The 17274-nt window shown below is 46.9% G+C and overlaps 1 protein-coding gene across 1 annotated transcript in view, besides 2 other annotated features; it reads left to right on the plus strand.

Moving 5' to 3' along the window:
• Positions 1 to 17274, plus strand: part of SPON1 (spondin 1) — a 305411-nt gene that overhangs the window by 284785 nt on the left and 3352 nt on the right. The window contains exons 8-15 of the mRNA NM_006108.4: positions 7021 to 7222; positions 8140 to 8280; positions 9110 to 9185; positions 10209 to 10391; positions 11773 to 11943; positions 12027 to 12194; positions 13081 to 13245; positions 15205 to 15468. Of these exons, the coding sequence (NP_006099.2) occupies positions 7021 to 7222; positions 8140 to 8280; positions 9110 to 9185; positions 10209 to 10391; positions 11773 to 11943; positions 12027 to 12194; positions 13081 to 13245; positions 15205 to 15468 (1370 nt within the window). The remainder of the gene's footprint in view (positions 1 to 7020; positions 7223 to 8139; positions 8281 to 9109; positions 9186 to 10208; positions 10392 to 11772; positions 11944 to 12026; positions 12195 to 13080; positions 13246 to 15204; positions 15469 to 17274) is intronic.
• Positions 11385 to 11909: an enhancer, noted in NCBI's record as "H3K27ac-H3K4me1 hESC enhancer chr11:14280438-14280962 (GRCh37/hg19 assembly coordinates)". NCBI's record gives its function as "activates a minimal SCP1, AML or CMV promoter by ChIP-STARR-seq in primed H9 embryonic stem cells {active_cell/tissue: H9 hESC(primed)}" and the evidence as "EXISTENCE:reporter gene assay evidence [ECO:0000049][PMID:30033119]".
• Positions 11910 to 12433: an enhancer, noted in NCBI's record as "H3K27ac-H3K4me1 hESC enhancer chr11:14280963-14281486 (GRCh37/hg19 assembly coordinates)". NCBI's record gives its function as "activates a minimal SCP1, AML or CMV promoter by ChIP-STARR-seq in primed H9 embryonic stem cells {active_cell/tissue: H9 hESC(primed)}" and the evidence as "EXISTENCE:reporter gene assay evidence [ECO:0000049][PMID:30033119]".

A 17274-nucleotide genomic window follows, 5' to 3' on the forward strand; every position in this document is an offset into this window, starting at 1 on the left:
GATGCGGGAGCCCAGTGAGGGGGGCTACTTCAGAAAACCGGAGAGAATTAACTGTGACTTCACTAGGATGGTGGTGGTGGTGGAAAAGGAGAGAGGTACAGAGATGTGTGAGGCACGTAGGAGGTAAAATCAACAGGCTGTGGCGATAGGTGGAGTAAGGGGGTGGAGAAAGAGCAGTCAAGATGTTTCCCATGTGTCTGGCTGGCATAATGAAAGAGTGGTGAAGCCACTCACAAGGCTGAAAACGTTAGATGAAGTTCAGTGGGAAAGATCATGGGATCAGTTCTAAGTGTAAGTTGTTAAGATGTATTCAAGATTTCCAGTTAGAGGTGTTAAGTACATGGTTGGCTAGATAGCTCTGGAACTCAGGGCAAGAATTCTGCACTGAGATCTAAAATTGGGAGCCCTCAAGGAATGGGAGACAATGCCAAGGGCATAAGAATAGGAATCAAGGGCTTAGGACTGAGTTCCAAAGATCTCTACTATTGAATGTTGAGGAATCTTGCCTGCAAAGGACACAGCAAAGGAGCAGCAAAGAAATTGGTAAGGAAGCTTGGTACCGAGAAAGCCAGGGGAAGAAAGTGTTTGAGGCGGGTGGTTGGCTGTGCCCAGTGCAGCCGAGAAAACAAGAAAGATCAAGGCTACAGGAAGCCCTTTGGGTTTATCGACAGGAAGGTCATCAGTGACCTTACGGAGAATCCTTTCTGCTGAGTGATGAGGGGGAAAAACAGCCCGGAGCAGGTGAGCTGTGAACAGAGCATGAGGTTATGGAGTCAGCAAGTACAGACCACTCTTCTGTGAAGTTTGCTATGAAAGAAGAGAACCTGGCTCCAAGGGGATGAAAGAGTCAAAGGAGCATTTTTTTTTTCTTTTTTAAGATGGGAGAGACTTTCTGAAAAACTGAAATGAATATTTTGGGACACCTTCCCACATTTCACCTACCCCTCAGACTTCCTGAGGCCTCCGTGGAACAAAATTAATTGATGGCAAACACTCAGACCTCCCAAACACCCAAAACCTCTGCACTCGGCGCTACTGGCTTGTTAAGGGAAAAGAATTTTCCTTTGATTTTCCCATACCCCAGTCTCCCCTTTCCTCTTCCAAATCTCATTAGGAAGTCAAATTAGGAAGCCTACATGCAGCCAAGTTTTGTTTTGCAGAAACAGCCTTGCCTCTCTTTGCTGAGCCTGCCTGATTGAGGTTAATGGGATTCCAGCCTCCCTCGCCGCCCAGTGGAAAGCCAGGGTGACCTACTTTGCAAGGTCCTGCCCGTTGAAACTGACTTGTTTTTCAATGATCTGCATCTTTATCCCCAGGACCACTTCTCAAAGGACAGCCATGAATGAGCAAATTAGCTGCTGACTTGTTTAGCTCAATAAATCAAGCTGTGGCTCCGACAGCCCAGGGTGCAGGTAGAGACAGGAAAGGCAGACTCTGAACAAAACCCACATCCTTTCCTAGTTCCTCCGGTGCCTAAGTAGAAAATGCCCAGATTTCCTACAAATCAATTCTGAATGTCCATCATCCAGTTCCTCCAATTGCATCTGAATGCTAAGAATTACTGGGACTTTTACAAATAACTTTTATTTCCTTCCTTAAAATGAATCCTGCAAACCACTGTCACCACCTTAAATTATTCCCAGCCACTCTGCCGGATTAACATTGATTAGATAAAGGTCGTGTTTGTGAGGCCAGTGGAGTAGAGACATGGTCACCTTCTCCAGAAATCCAAAGCCATGCTCCCCAGGAGGCCAGAGATTTCCCTTAAATTGGGCCGGAAGAGTCAGGGCTCTCCCTGCCTCCTGCAACACCTGCACAGGTCCACCGATGTCCTCGGGATGCTAAAGGAAGATGGGCTTTGGACAGAGAAGCAGGTGGTAGGTCTAAGCATCCAGATGGACCTGGAGTCCTAGATGCCTCCTGGTTATAAACACAGCGTTTTCCAACGTTGCAGGAACCTCCCTCAAACCTTTCTCCACACACACCCCTGCAGAACTTCAGCCTAGTGAATGGCTTGGGCGCCCTCTCGTGGCCAAATTGAGTTTTTGCAACTCTGAAAATTCAGATTATTGAAAACTCAGGATGAGAGACAACACAGCATATGAGTGTTTTAGGAAACCCTCCTGAGTCTCACTGGTGTGGATCTGTAATTTAGGAGGGGATGGTAAGTCTCTAGAAGCAGTATCAAAATCCTTTCTTACCTCTTTTCTTTTATGGTGTTTTGGAACATTTTGTTTGGAAAAGTTGAATGAGAAGAAAATCAACCTCTACCAAGCCCTGTTATGTGTCCCTCACAATGATAAGCAGTTTTCTCACAATAAAACCTTGGGGTAGGATGATGATGCTCCCATTTGGCAGATGTAGTAATTGCAAAGAAAGGTGAGGTGGAAGCCCTCATCACATAGCTATTAAATAAACAGCTGATTCGAATCCAGCTCTGACTGTCACCAATGCCCTGGGTTCTTTCCTCCACACCATGCTGCCTCTCCAAATGTAGAAAAAGGAAACATTTCTCTGGGTCTTCATATCTGATGTGAATTGTCTGTTCATAACTTTTCTTTATCTAGTGGGATCATTGTCTTTTTCTACATATTTGGATTAACTCTGTAGATAATATAGATATTAACACTTTGTCAGTCACACTCAATGGAGACATTTTTTGCCAGCATGTCATTTTTCTCTCCAATTCAGTACTGCTGTTTTCATTTTACAGAAGGTCTTCGTTGATAGATAATTCAATTCTTTTCTTTATAATTGCTTTTATTGTTTCAAAGTTGAAAAAATTAATATTTCTCTAGTAGATCTGAAAGCTTTATTTTTTTCTATGATCTGGTTATTTTCTATTTGACTCTGGGTCTGTTTTTTTTTTTTCTTGTGTGGTATATTAAATGTGAATCCAGTTTTTTTTTTATTACAGTTAACTTAGCCCAACCCCACTTGTCGCACAATCTTTCCTTTCCCCCTAATTTGAAAAGCCTATTTTGTATAGTCCTTATCTATAGTTTCTGGGATCTCCAGTCTGTATTGCTGATTTATATTTCTATCTTACCTGAATATCACGCTATTTTGTCTATCATGCTTTATCATATACTCTGGTATATGGTATGGCTAGATCAACTCTCTGCTAGAAAACGGATACAAATCTAAGTCCCAGGTAGAAAGATGAAACCAAATTAACAAAATATATCTTGGAAGACATGGCATATACAAAAGCATAAAAATTTTTATGACAGTTTGAACAAATTAAAGCACTCCAGTCCTATCTAGCATTTTCTAAGGAAAACTCATATAGATTCTTATTCATTTAATTATTTTTATTATAGAATAAATACTTTGAAGTGATGCTTAATTAAATTTGAAGGTCAAAGGAAATACAAGAGCTCCATGTTCATTTCTTAGATTAAGTCATTTACTTCAACAAACATTTGAAGAGAATCCATGGCATGCCAAGTTCTAAGCCAGACATTGGGATATAGCTATGAGCACGGCAGAAATGGTCCTCACTCTATTGGAACCTGATGGGAAAGGCAGATATTAACAAAAAATTCCAAAGCAAGAGTGAGTTCAGCATGCTATGGGGAGGTAGAATAGGAGTTCTAAGCAATTTGGGGAGAGGTCAGGAAATACCTCCTCCAGGAAATGTTACATAAATGGGGTCAAGGAGGGATTCTCCAGTCAAGGATAAGAGAAAGCTGCAGGGCATATCTGAAAATGCTATCAAATTGTTCTCAGGCCCTTATAGATTCAGATTTACTCTATCACCCAAGATAAGTCAGCCATGTGACCTCATAGTCAGGAATTGGCCGCCCCACGTTTCCCACACCTTGAAACACTTACCAGGGTCTAGAGGGTATCTCGCTTCAGCTACAGATTTGGATACAACAGATTGGGCCAAAATGCATTTACTGAGAATGATTTCCACAAGGCCTTGGTCTCAGATGGTTACACCCATTGGCTGGGCAGGTTCCAGGGTAATGTGTTAGGGTGGCAGTTGGTTTGGTTTCTACAGCTCTGGATTAGAACTGGTTTTGTCCCCTTAGATTGTCATTATGAATAGTCACCCATGGGGTACAGGATATGAATGACTAATCTGGCCCCAAATCACCTACTTAGGAAGACAGGAAGGCAATAGATGGAGCGGTCAGTCTCTATGACAATGGAAGAGGAAACCTGCCTCCCAGGGGACTGCTGGACCACCCCAGAGGACAGCTGCACCCAGGTGCCAGTGCTGTCTGCTCAGCAGTTACTAGAAGGCAGACCAGAACCCCGTCCTGTGAGTCCCTAGGCGAGGTAATGCCACACCTCCATAGACTGCAATCCTTGTGTGAACCAGGTCTTTAAAGAAGCTGCTAAAATCACTGACCTACATGCCAGAAAATGCACACGTGGGAAAAGGAAATTAAATCCCCTGATTTGTGCCTAAGTAGCTGATGATGTCATTGCAATACTTTAGCAGTTTATAAAGACTTCCTAATAAAGCATCTCATTTGATCCTGACAGCAACACTGCAGGTATGTATTGCTAGATGAAGATATTGAGACTTGAAGAGGGTGAGCAACTTGCCCAAGATCTAAAGCTAGAAGTGGAGGAGTTCAAGTCATCATACGCATATTTGTTCAGTCGGCCCACTGGACACCTAGGTCCTGGGGTACAGCTATGAAACACAGAGTTCCTTCAAGGAACTCCCGGTCTAAGCTGGGGAGAGGGAACAGTGAGGAAGTGATTACATTCATGGGGTCTGGCTATGGAGACCTGCGCAGAGTGGGAATCCAGCGCTATGTATCTGCCTCAGCCGAAGGCAAGACCTGCGCAGAGTGTGGGAATCCAGCGCTATGTATCTGCCTCAGCCGAAGGCAAGACCTGCGCAGAGTGTGGGAATCCAGCGCTATGTATCTGCCTCAGCCGAAGGCAAGACCTGCGCAGAGTGTGGGAATCCAGCGCTATGTACTTGCCTCAGCCGAAGGCAAGACCTGCGCAGAGTGTGGGAATCCAGCGCTATGTACTTGCCTCAGCCGAAGGCAAGACCTGCGCAGAGTGTGGGAATCCAGCGCTATGTACTTGCCTCAGCCGAAGGCAAGACCTGCGCAGAGTGTGGGAATCCAACGCTATGTACTTGCCTCAGCCGAAGGCAAGACCTGCGCAGAGTGTGGGAATCCAGCGCTATGTACTTGCCTCAGCTGAAGGCAAGACCTGCGCAGAGTGTGGGAATCCAGCGCTATGTATCTGCCTCAGCTGAAGGCAGGCAGAAAGGCTGCTGGAAGAGGTGACATGACCTGAGGCTTGAAAGATGAGTGGGCCCAGCATTCTCAAGCTTGAGGTGTATTACAATCTGGAGGGATTATTAAAACAAATTGCTGGGTCCTACCCCAAGTCTCTAATTCAGCAAATATAGGGTGGGGCTCAAGAATCTGTATTTCTAACAAGTTCCTAGAGGTTGCTGATGCTGCTGGTCCAAGGACCACACTTTTCCAATCACTGAAGAGCTTGCCCAATAGATGCAAGTACAAGTGGAACCTGCAGCTAACCTGCAGGTAGACTGGCCTGTCAGGGCCCAGGGAGCTTCTTAGGTAGCAGGTAGTGTGGGATAAGGGAGGGGGTGCATGGGAGGCAGCACCAGGACCTTGTCAATCGACGGATGCCAAAGCCAAGGCTCAGGCCAGGTTCTTCTCCACTCCTGTGGCAGAACCTAGACTGGCATCAGGCTAAAATGGAAAGTCCATTCAGGAAGGCTTTTCCTCCCACCTGTCCCCTTTCTGATCTCCATACGATCCTACAGTACTTCTCTCAGTAACACTAATGGTAATAAGAGCTCTAGGGCCAGGCAATGGGCTAAGTACTGTCTGCAAGCTAGCTCATTTGAAATTCACAGGAACCCTTTGGAGTAGACGTATGTGATCACCATTTTAAAGATTTGGACACTGAGACGCAGAAAGGTTTGATAATCTGCCCAAGGACACACAGCTGTAACAGGTGATACCAGAGCCCAAGGGGCCCAGTTCCCCAGGCCCCAGTCGGGTCTGCAGTCATTGCTTTCTGGTGCCAGGTGAGGGCAGCCAGAAGCAGCTGGTCCCAACAGAGGGCACAGGGACTTCCAGACAGCTGAGGCAGACCAGCTGCCAGCTGGACTGAACAGAACAGTTGGTCTCTGGCCAAGGATTCCCCATGATTAGCAGCCTTGGGGTGCAGAGTCAGGCCAAGCTGCCTTCAAGCCTCAGCCCCCTCCTAGCTGTGTCTATTAGTTCATTAACCACTTATTCACTTTCATGGCCTCTCTATGAGACAGGATAATAATTCTAACCCCACAGGATTGTCATGAGGGGAAAATGAAATAATATGGGACTGCCACCCGCTGTGTGCTTTGCGAATGTGACTCTTTCCTTTCCAGCCACTCTGAGTGGTTGCTGCCATGTATCTCACATGGTCCCAGCCACTCCTGAGAATCTGTGTGACACAAAGAGAGAGGTTGAAGAGCGGCCTCTGATAGCTTAGACTCAGGATGTTATTCCCAGCAACTGGGGGTGTCGGCCAAAGGTCTCTGACTCTACAGCTGGTCCCTGCTTCCCAGCTGTGAGCTGATGGGTACAGTCTGGCGCTGGACAGTGCCTGCTATTGGCAGCCTTCTGAGGGCAATAGAAACAGGAAGCTGGGGGAGATGACCCCTCTGATGGGAGGTTGAGGTGCAAGGATCACTTGAGCCCAGAAGTTTGAGGCAACAGTGAGCCATGATCACACCACTGCACTCCAGCCTGGGTGACAGAGCAAGACTCTGTCTCTGAAAGAAAAACAAAAAGAGAAACTGGATAGGGTGGTAGTATATGGTTCTCTCCACATTTGTTCAATGGATGGGCTCAGGACAGAGAAGGGTATAAACCCACAGTGGCCAAAGGCAGAATTCAGTGGGAGACCACGAATGTGGATACTCTCTGTCCCTCTCATTCTTCATAATCCAGGCAGATTTCCCTCAGAGTGAGGACCAACCCCCAGAACTCTAATATAATGGTCTCTGTATTTCGTTTCCAGGAGAGCAGCACCTTCAGCTGAATTTTCCGTGGACAGAACGCGCCATTTAATGTCCTTCCTGACCATGATGGGCCCTAGTCCCGACTGGAACGTAGGCTTATCTGCAGAAGATCTGTGCACCAAGGAATGTGGCTGGGTCCAGAAGGTGGTGCAAGACCTGATTCCCTGGGACGCTGGCACCGACAGCGGGGTGACCTATGAGGTGTGTGTGTGTGCCTGGAGTGGTGAGTGGCTCCTTGCCTACCCGCTTCCTGAGTGTCCTGGACACAGAGGGGATCTGTCCCAGGCTCTGTCCTAGGTGAACTTTCAGTCTGGCTGGGGAGGCTGGCATGGTCGCATCATCACATATGGTGTAATTTGGGCTCTGGGAACTGTCTGTGCAGTGGCCAGGAGAGCACGGAGAGGGAACTGCTAAAGAGCAGTTCCCAGGTGAGCAGGGGACAGCATTCCAAAGCCATGACTGCAAGAGCGAAGGTTTCTGGACAGCTGGGCTAAGGAGTTTGCATTCTGTCCTGAATGTCATATTTCTCTGATATGATCTATTGCATTGAAATCTGGAGCCATCAGAAAACCAATGGGAGAACAATCTAGAACAGACATCTGCAAACTATGGTTTGGAAGACAAATCTGCCCTACAATGTGATTTGTCAATAAAGTTTTCAAAGCCAGTTACACTCCTCCAAGTACATATTATCTGCGGCTGTTTTCTCACTACCACAGCTGAGTTGAATATTAGCAACAGACACAATATGGTTCACAAAGCCTAAAATATTTAGCATCTGGCCCTTTACTAAAAAAGTTTTCCAATGCCGGGTCTATTAGAAAGAGTTTGGGATTCAGGCCAACCTGGCTCAGCCGTTTCCTAGCTGGGATGGCCTCTCTGAAACTTGGCTTCTTCATCTTAGCACAATCCTACCATGGACATGGAAGAATTTTAAAATATAGTTCTAGAAATTTCTCAGCACAGTATGTGGCATGAACACAATTCCATAAATATAAATAGTAGTTATGCTTGTTAAATTCCTATCAAGGACTTTGCTCTGATCCATATAACAAATGGCTTTTGTGGGTTTTCCCAATTTTATTTCTTACTCTCTACCTCTGTATGTTTTCTTGCAGTCACCCAACAAACCCACCATTCCCCAGGAGAAAATCCGGCCCCTGACCAGCCTGGACCATCCTCAGAGTCCTTTCTATGACCCAGAGGGTGGGTCCATCACTCAAGTAGCCAGAGTTGTCATCGAGAGAATCGCACGGAAGGTACTGGGTTAGAACCCACTCTGGCATCGACCTTTCCCGGTAGGAGTGCCAGGGAGATTGTACACCCTTCTGCTCTAGAATCATAGAGTCACTGGCAGAAAGCACCTCAGGATATGGAATTCCTGGGCCTCCCCAGGTTTCTAACATGCAAATTATTTCATAAGATGAAAATAAGCAGGCCAGGCACTGTAGCCCATGCCTGTAATCCCAGCCCTTTGGGAGTCCAAGGTGGGCAGATCACCCGAGGTCAGGAATTCAAGACCAGCCTGGCCAACATGGTGAAACCCCATCTCTACTAAAAATACAAAAATTGGCTGGGCATGGTGGCAGGGACCTGTAATTCCAGCTACTCGGGAGGCTAAGGCAGGAGAATTGCTTGAACCCTGGAGGTGGAGGTTACAGTGAGCCAAGATTGCGCCATTGCGCTCCAGTCTGGGTGACAAGAGCAAAACTCCATCTCAAAAAGAAAAAAGAAAAAAAAAGAAAATGAGCAAAATTAACTCAGCAGTGAGGCCCAGTGCTCAAATGAACAATTTGATCCAGGCAAATTGCTTTCATTGTGAGTTCTGCAATTGATTACTAATATCTGCCATGGGCCAGGAACTGGGGAGTGGTGGTACCCAAGTTATGTATTTATCATCCCTGGTTAGCCATTCCTGCTTTCTTGGCATTTCTTTCTCAGGCAGATTGTAAATGTTGGTCCAGAACTTTGCCATGGCATACGATTTGTATACAGAATGGCGATTAGATTTTAGTCCTCTTTCACCTTCCCCCTACACATTCCCTTCTTTCTCTCATGTGAGCCCTCCAAGTAAAATTCCTTTTTCAGGGTGAACAATGCAATATTGTACCTGACAATGTCGATGATATTGTAGCTGACCTGGCTCCAGAAGAGAAAGATGAAGGTACGTTGTTTTCTTTTGTTGCAGGTGGCAACATAAATTGACATAACCCTTTGAGAAAGCAATTTGCTAACCTGTTTTAAGAACCATAAACCATGTGCTTTGACTTGGTAATCATATCTCTGAGGATTTCTCCTCAAGAAATAATCAAAAACAAGGCCAAGGTTAGGCCCAAAGCATAAGGGAATTGGTGAAGATATGACATCAGAATATATACTCAACAACATCAGGCCTTTAAAACAATCATGTAAATCTCATTTTAATGGGCTTCGCAGGATTCAGACCACTCTCTGCTTCGATTCTCAGGCCAGCCTATGAGGCAGGTGTGGATACATTCACTTTCCTAGCAAGCAAAGAAAGGCCCAGATCCTACAATCAGGAGGGAGCGACAGAGTCATGGTTCAAGCTCAAGTTTTCTTATGGGATCTGGAGCCAGACAACCTGGACTCTCAGTAGACATGTGATCTTGGGCAAGAAGCTAACCTTTCTGTCTCAGTTTCCTCAACAGTCAAATGGGGATAATAAAAGAACTTGCTTCATACAGTTGTCAGAATTAAATGGGATAAAACATGTAAGGCTCTTAGAATGGTGCTGGTACATGATGAGTACTCAATGAATAGCAGCTGCTCTTATTCTTACCATGACAACTGTGTATGGGATCATTGGGAAGATGAAGCCATGGCATGTAAATAAGCCTTGAGCTTTTCAAAATTACCTACAATGAGCCTGCATGTGTCTGGAAACAATGCCAAGATGAGGGACTGAAAATGAGAAGACGTTCATGTGTTGAGAGGAAGGGATAATAAGAATCATTCTGCTTATTTAGATTAGATATTTATTAGCAAGATGTTAAACTATTATCTTTAAAGGGAAGTGGATGGCTGCTTCCATCCCAGGAGCACCCAGGCTCACTGAAGTCAGTCTGGCAGCATGGCTTTTCTTGTCCCCAGATAAGCTGGTATGGGGAGAGGGCCAGTGGCAGCTCCCATAGGTTCCCAGGGAAAACATGTCAAACACTCTTTCCAGATGACACCCCTGAAACCTGCATCTACTCCAACTGGTCCCCATGGTCCGCCTGCAGCTCCTCCACCTGTGACAAAGGCAAGAGGATGCGACAGCGCATGCTGAAAGCACAGCTGGACCTCAGCGTCCCCTGCCCTGACACCCAGGACTTCCAGCCCTGCATGGGCCCTGGCTGCAGTGACGAAGGTGAGGAGACAACCCAGACCAGCCAGGGGCTGGCAGGAGTTCAGGAAGGGAGGGTCTGCCTAGCAGTCAGACAGTGTCCCTGGTGAGGGCACAAGGACCCTGACAGTAGATGTCAGTGGGGTCCACCTTGGGCAAACTCCTATCTGCAACAGTGTCTTGAGGGCTCTGAACACAGAATCTCTCTTATATCAAAGGAATTCTTGAGATTGACCACCCCCTCCTTCTTTTACTGAAGAGCTAACAAACATAGATACAACTTATGACAAGTTACAGATAACACATAGCCTGCTTCTGGGCCTTAACTCCAATCTCTTCTTAAGGAGCCTGTTAACAGTCAGCCCAGATTGAATCTAGATCCATTGCCCTAATTCTGTCATTTACAGCCCCTCATCTGTGTTCCACCTCAGCGTGAGTCAGAGCACTCTCACTTCTTTGTGTCAGGACCTTTGGGCTGATTGCAGAAATTCTCAGTCTATTTGCAACAGTGCAAAGGTCAGCCTTTAAGTATAATCTTGCAACACCTATATCATGATGGCTCAAGCTTCAAGATTGCACTAAGCTGATTGCTGTGCAAAGGTCAGCTATCTGCTTCCCAAGCCATGACCCCTTTCTCTGCCTGATAGATCTACGCTATTCTGCCCTGATCTTATAGGATGCCATAAGGCAATGGGAAGGCACTGTATAGGCTGGACTGGTGTATGGCAGGGAAAAAAACCACTTCCAAGCCGAGGATAAAGAAAGCAAGCTTATCCCATGCAGGTCATTAATTCCTTGGCTCTGCCTAGAGGGAGGCTCTTAAACACCTCTCCCAGTGTTGCACTTTCACGATGGTTTATTGCTAGCTCATTTTGCCCACAATAAGCACTTTGGAGGGGAGTAAACCCTCCCCGTAGACTAAGTCATTCCTACAAACAGGCGGGAGGAAAGCTGGGACTGGCCTGTCAACATTGAAGCCTCTTTCTTGGGGCTGGGACTGGGGAGCTAAGCTGAGGAGCTGAGGTCCTTAACCTCCCCTTCCACAGGGAAGGATTGTTCCTCATACAAATGGATTATGATTTATCTTAAATTATATGTAGATTAAATTATATCTTATCTTAGATATATGCGTGTACATTTTTTAAACACCATCCTTTCCATACAAGCATCTTTCGAATGTATTTTCATGAGATAAAGAGTAATTCTGAGTGTCCCATGCACCTGGAAAAGAGGCATTTCCTCTTAGAGAACTTTGCCAGTTTAAGGATTTAGACCTCTTAGGTGTGCAGACAACCTCAACTGCCTGACTCCTCTTGATTCCCGCTGGCGGGAAGTTCCCACCGCGCAGCCTGGCAGGCGCCCCTGCCACCGTGCACTGCTGCAGCGTTCACTCGGTGTGTTGCAGACGGCTCCACCTGCACCATGTCCGAGTGGATCACCTGGTCGCCCTGCAGCATCTCCTGCGGCATGGGCATGAGGTCCCGGGAGAGGTATGTGAAGCAGTTCCCGGAGGACGGCTCCGTGTGCACGCTGCCCACTGAGGAAACGGAGAAGTGCACGGTCAACGAGGAGTGCTGTGAGTGGGGGCCCCGGGCGGGCAGGCGGGCAAGTAGGTCGGGGAGGCAGCAGGTGCGACTCCAATGCCGCTGGCCTCCCCAGCTCCCAGCAGCTGCCTGATGACCGAGTGGGGCGAGTGGGACGAGTGCAGCGCCACCTGCGGCATGGGCATGAAGAAGCGGCACCGCATGATCAAGATGAACCCCGCAGATGGCTCCATGTGCAAAGCCGAGACATCACAGGCAGAGAAGTGCATGATGCCAGAGTGCCGTGAGTGAGAGCGGGGGTGGACTTGGAGGAGGCCACTGGGGACAGGCGTGGAGGGCCATGGCATCCACTATTACCACCATAAAGGTCGGAGGCTGAGCAGAGGAAAGCATGGCCCATGGTCCTTGCTGGGCACTGCTGGGAGCCAGATGAGAGACATAGGTGTGTAGACATCAACCAGACCCAGAGAGAGTAACCTCCACTGGGGGACATTCTAAGCAATGCTGGGGTGGCAAACTGGTGGCCTCTGGATAGAGAATTCACCTGCAGCTGTGTTTTATAGGAGTGTCTTTCTTGCAGTGGTGGGGAGGAGGGCCAATACATTTAGGCGGGACATACATTACCCAGGTCCAGCCCACTCCTCCCACTCCTGTTGTACATTGGACTTGGCTGATCCCATAAAGCATGACCTCCCCTGCTCTGTGCACAAATGCATATGGGCCTGCCCACACATTAGTATGCAGATGTATACAGGCACACAAGTATATACACATTCTAGGGAATTCAGGACAATGTCCAAAAATGCATCCCTGAGCCTCTCCTTTAGTGCCTGATTCTTAGTGAGTGTGGGATGTTTCTGTCTCTAGGAAGACCCTGCTAAGATCCTCAGTGGCCTTTCTAGTGGGGACTTATGTAGTCATATTGCTACCCTCATGTCATAACCATCGGGGGGGGTCAGCAGGGAGATGAAAGAGAGTGAAAAGAAGAGCAGTAGGCTGCTGAGCCACTTCTTGCTCCATAGATTTCACTCTTATTTGAACCCATGGGCCAATTCCACTTTATTCCAGGGGCCAAAGCAGGGGACTCGGTGTGGAACACTGTGGGGTCAGGGAGATCAACGAAAACAAAAGGAACCTGTTCTCAGTGGCAAACCTGGTTCTTGATCTAGACACCATCCCATGCTTGCTGTCCCCATGGTCCGAGTGGAGTGACTGCAGCGTGACCTGCGGGAAGGGCATGCGAACCCGACAGCGGATGCTCAAGTCTCTGGCAGAACTTGGAGACTGCAATGAGGATCTGGAGCAGGTGGAGAAGTGCATGCTCCCTGAATGCCGTAAGTCCTGGAGCTCCTCAAGGCCCATCACTTCTATGTTCCTGAGTCCAGGGAGCCCCGAACCAGCCAGTGCTAATACTGCTAGATCCTAGAATAACATGGTTTGCTGGGGAAGAGTTTGGGGTTTGGCTTTCAGTGTTTGCAGTTACTTAAACACTGCAGTCAGTTTCATTAATAAAGTGAGAATCCCACTACCGTCTACAGAACACCCAAAGTTAAGGTTCCTGTGAAGTCTAAATGACAGACACATACGAAAAACAGCACAAAGCTCAATAAACCTTAGTTCTTTCCCTCCTCTCCCCCAACAATTATAGGCTTGCCTGACCCATGGATTTTCCAAGCATTTTAATTCTATTTTCCCTGTGACCATTTTAATTCCCCATGACCAGAGGCTGGACATTAAATCAATGACTCCTGCAGACTGGTAAGAAAACCAGCAAGAAAACAAGCCAAGTTCTCAAAAACTCACCCCACCCCGCTCCACTCCCAGTCCTGTTTTCCAAAGTCTCTGCGATCAGCTGTTTATATTACATGGGACTAATCTCCAAGCAGAGCAAGCCAGTTTCCTTGGCTGGTCTTCCAAGAGCTGCTTTTTTGGGTGGTAAAAGGGCAGGCACACTGGCTGTGGCTCTGGCCCCCTCCAGCATGTACTTGCAGTCGTTCATCCTCCCTCCCCTAGCTAGTAACCTTCAGCCGATGACTCAGCACCTCTGTTCCTCAGTTTCTCCATCTGTAAAATAGCAGGAAATACTTCCTAGGTTGCTCTGAGGATGAAACCAAGTAATTGGTCCAAAGTATGAGCACTGGACATGGCAAGGATAGGCCTTACTTAATCCCTGCTCCATGCTCCAGCTCCTGGGTTGTTTTAGGAGACTCAGCCATGGGTGGAGGTAACTTGGACCACCCACTAGAGAAAGCCTGGGGTTTTCAGTAACTAAGATTGGCCCATGGTTCAGGCCAGCTCACCAGAGTTGGGGCCCCATAGCCTTCTGACTTAGAGTGCCTGGGGTCCACTGAAGTAAGGGAGAAGAAAATGAAAATTTATGGAGCACTTACAGGGCTGGGAGCATCTCATTTAATCCTTACAACCTAATGAAAAAAAAAATACCATGATCCCCATTTTGCAGATAAGAAAGCTGCCTGAGCTTCCACAGGCGGGATAAAAGAACTGAAACTGTTGAACTAAATGAGGACATCTAAGTCCACCACCCTGACTTTGGCCTTGCAAGACCAACAGAGAGCTTGGAATAATTTACCTCCCTGGGACACATCCTGACAGTCAAACTGATGTGTTATTTTCCTTTCACATTTATGAGATGCTGGCTTAGTAAGAATTTACTGGATCTCGATAAACCATAAAGCACCACTTGCTCCTGACCCTCTTCTCTACTGAATGTCCCATTTCTGGCTCCTGTGTTTTTTGCATAGACCACCATATATAGAACACAGGATGATGTTGAGAATGAAAAGCTGCCAGGGTGTGTTAGAACCACAATGTCCTTGGTATTGGTCCACAAGGGTCAGCCGCCTTTAGCTTGTTGACTTGTTCTCTCCAAAGAGCAGCAGGGGGCTTGCTGGCCTTGCTCTGAAAAATATCACCAGTGAGTTTGGGACTGTGGGAAGCTATTCTGTACTTGAGGCTGATCTGACAATATTCTAGTTCACAGAGCAGGGCAAGAGGCTCTGAACACATCCTGAAAGTCCTCCAAAGCCTTCTTGAGTCATAGAGGGAGCATAGAATGGGTGATGACCTGGCACCAATCCTGCCTCTGCTGCTTACCAACCACACGGGCTGAAGTCAGCCTGCCTCTTTGGAGCCTCAGTTTCTTCTTCTGTAAAATAGCATGACACAGCACCTGCTTTGCATCCCTCATAGGCTTGTTGAGATGTTCAAAGGAGAGCGTGACCATATCTTGTTTCAGACATGTGATACACTCATGCCCATCTGTGTCTTGCCAGCCATTGACTGTGAGCTCACCGAGTGGTCCCAGTGGTCGGAATGTAACAAGTCATGTGGGAAAGGCCACGTGATTCGAACCCGGATGATCCAAATGGAGCCTCAGTTTGGAGGTGCACCCTGCCCAGAGACTGTGCAGCGAAAAAAGTGCCGCATCCGAAAATGCCTTCGAAATCCATCCATCCAAAAGCTACGCTGGAGGGAGGCCCGAGAGAGCCGGCGGAGTGAGCAGCTGAAGGAAGAGTCTGAAGGGGAGCAGTTCCCAGGTATGGCTCCCAAGTGTCAGCCTGGGTGGTCTCCAGGACAGGCAGGGTTCTGCACTGGGCTAAGTCTTGGACCTGTTTAAAAAAAAAAAAAAAAAAAAAGTCGGGGAGAGTCTGCATCTTCTGGAGTCTTCAGGCCACATTTTGATTCTTTAGATCCAAGTTTGTTCCCAAATATTGAGCAAGCATAATTTATAAAGGAGATTGGCGGTGGGGGTCATTTATCAAAGAACATTTAGATAACCTAATTACCTGCCAAAAATAAATTTTCAAGCAAAGAATCTTTAGGAATTACAGTTCCTTCTTTACACACATATAAAACCAATAATGTGTCCAACTTTGCTCAAAGTCAGTTATGACTTAGCAACACCATTCACTCCTTGCAAAGAGGGAAAATGATACAGATGTGTCAAAGGAGTCTTGTCTTGTTCATCATTTAGGGAATGTTCCTGAGAACCTCCCAGAACACATCATCTTCCATTTTAAGGGTGTGGCTCAGACAAGGCAGCCGTGGCCTGAGACTTTATGATTTTTTTTTGCAAGGCTAACCAGAAGTTTATCAGCAGTGTCATGTCAGCCTTGAGTTTTATTTCCCCAAATAATATTGATCCAAGCTGACAAATAACTAATAGAACAATGCACCAAGTGCTCAGGGAGCTGAGGAATGAGCATCATCTTACATTGACTGGAGTTCAGGGAGATGTCAGAGCAGGGAAAACTAGAGTGGGTCTTGAAAAATCTAGAGGAGTTTGCCACTTAGAAAAGTACATTCCAGGCCGGGCACGGTGGCTCATGCCTGTAATCCCAGCACCTTGGTAGGCCAAGGCAGGCCAATCACTTGAGGTCAGGAGTTTGAGACCAGCCTGGCCAATATGGTGAAACCCCATCTCTACTAAAAGTACAAAAATTAGCCGGGCATGGTGGCGCACACCTGTAATCCCAGCTACTCAGGAGGCTGAAGCAGGAGAATCACTTGAACTGGGGAGGCAGAGGTTGCAGTGAGCCAAGAGCACACCATTGCACTCCAGTCTGGGCAACAAGAGTGAAACTCCGTCTCAAATTAAAAAAAAAAAAAAAGAAAAGTACATTCCAGGCAGCAAGAATAGTCATTACAAAGGCACAGAGATGCCAAAGACCATGATAGGTCCAAGTGATAGGTCCAAGTGATAAATGGGATGCAGATGAAGCACAGAGGACAAGGCAGGCAGGAAACCAGGCTGGGAAGGCAGGGACCAGACCACACAAGGCCAGTGGCCCACCAAGGATTTTGGGACCTGATTCTGTAGGTGGTTTTAAGCAAGAGGGTGACTGTATCAGACCTGTGTTGACTGATTTGGGGATGGCAAACAGACACAGAGGCCAGATAGGTTTTATTTGTAACCCAAGAGAAAGATTATACATCCCCAAACTCCAGCTTAACTTCAGAGTTCCAGGACTTCAGAAGAAAAAGAAAATGCCTGCCAGGGACTTCAGTGCTGAAGGTGCCCATGTAAAAAAGTGAAGATTAACATGTACATCAAGTTTTCTGATTTTTAAAGGCCTATTCTTTTTGAAGCATGAGGATCTCCTTGATGGTTCAGGATCCTTATGATTAGGGAGCTGTTTGCATATCAAAGTGCTGTCTGTTCTACATGGTAGTCAGCCAGTCAACAAACATTCATTAAAGCCTACTATGTGGCAGGTACATAGTTGTACGGTACATTCCTCCATGACTCTTAGCTGTAGTGTGGTTAACAAATATCTCATGTGTAACCATAAATGTGGTGGGTTCTATAAAAGAGGAATCTAGAGTGCTATGGAAGCAGTAAT

Source organism: Homo sapiens, chromosome 11 (genome assembly GCF_000001405.40).
Source record: "Homo sapiens chromosome 11, GRCh38.p14 Primary Assembly".
NCBI lineage: Eukaryota > Metazoa > Chordata > Mammalia > Primates > Hominidae > Homo > Homo sapiens.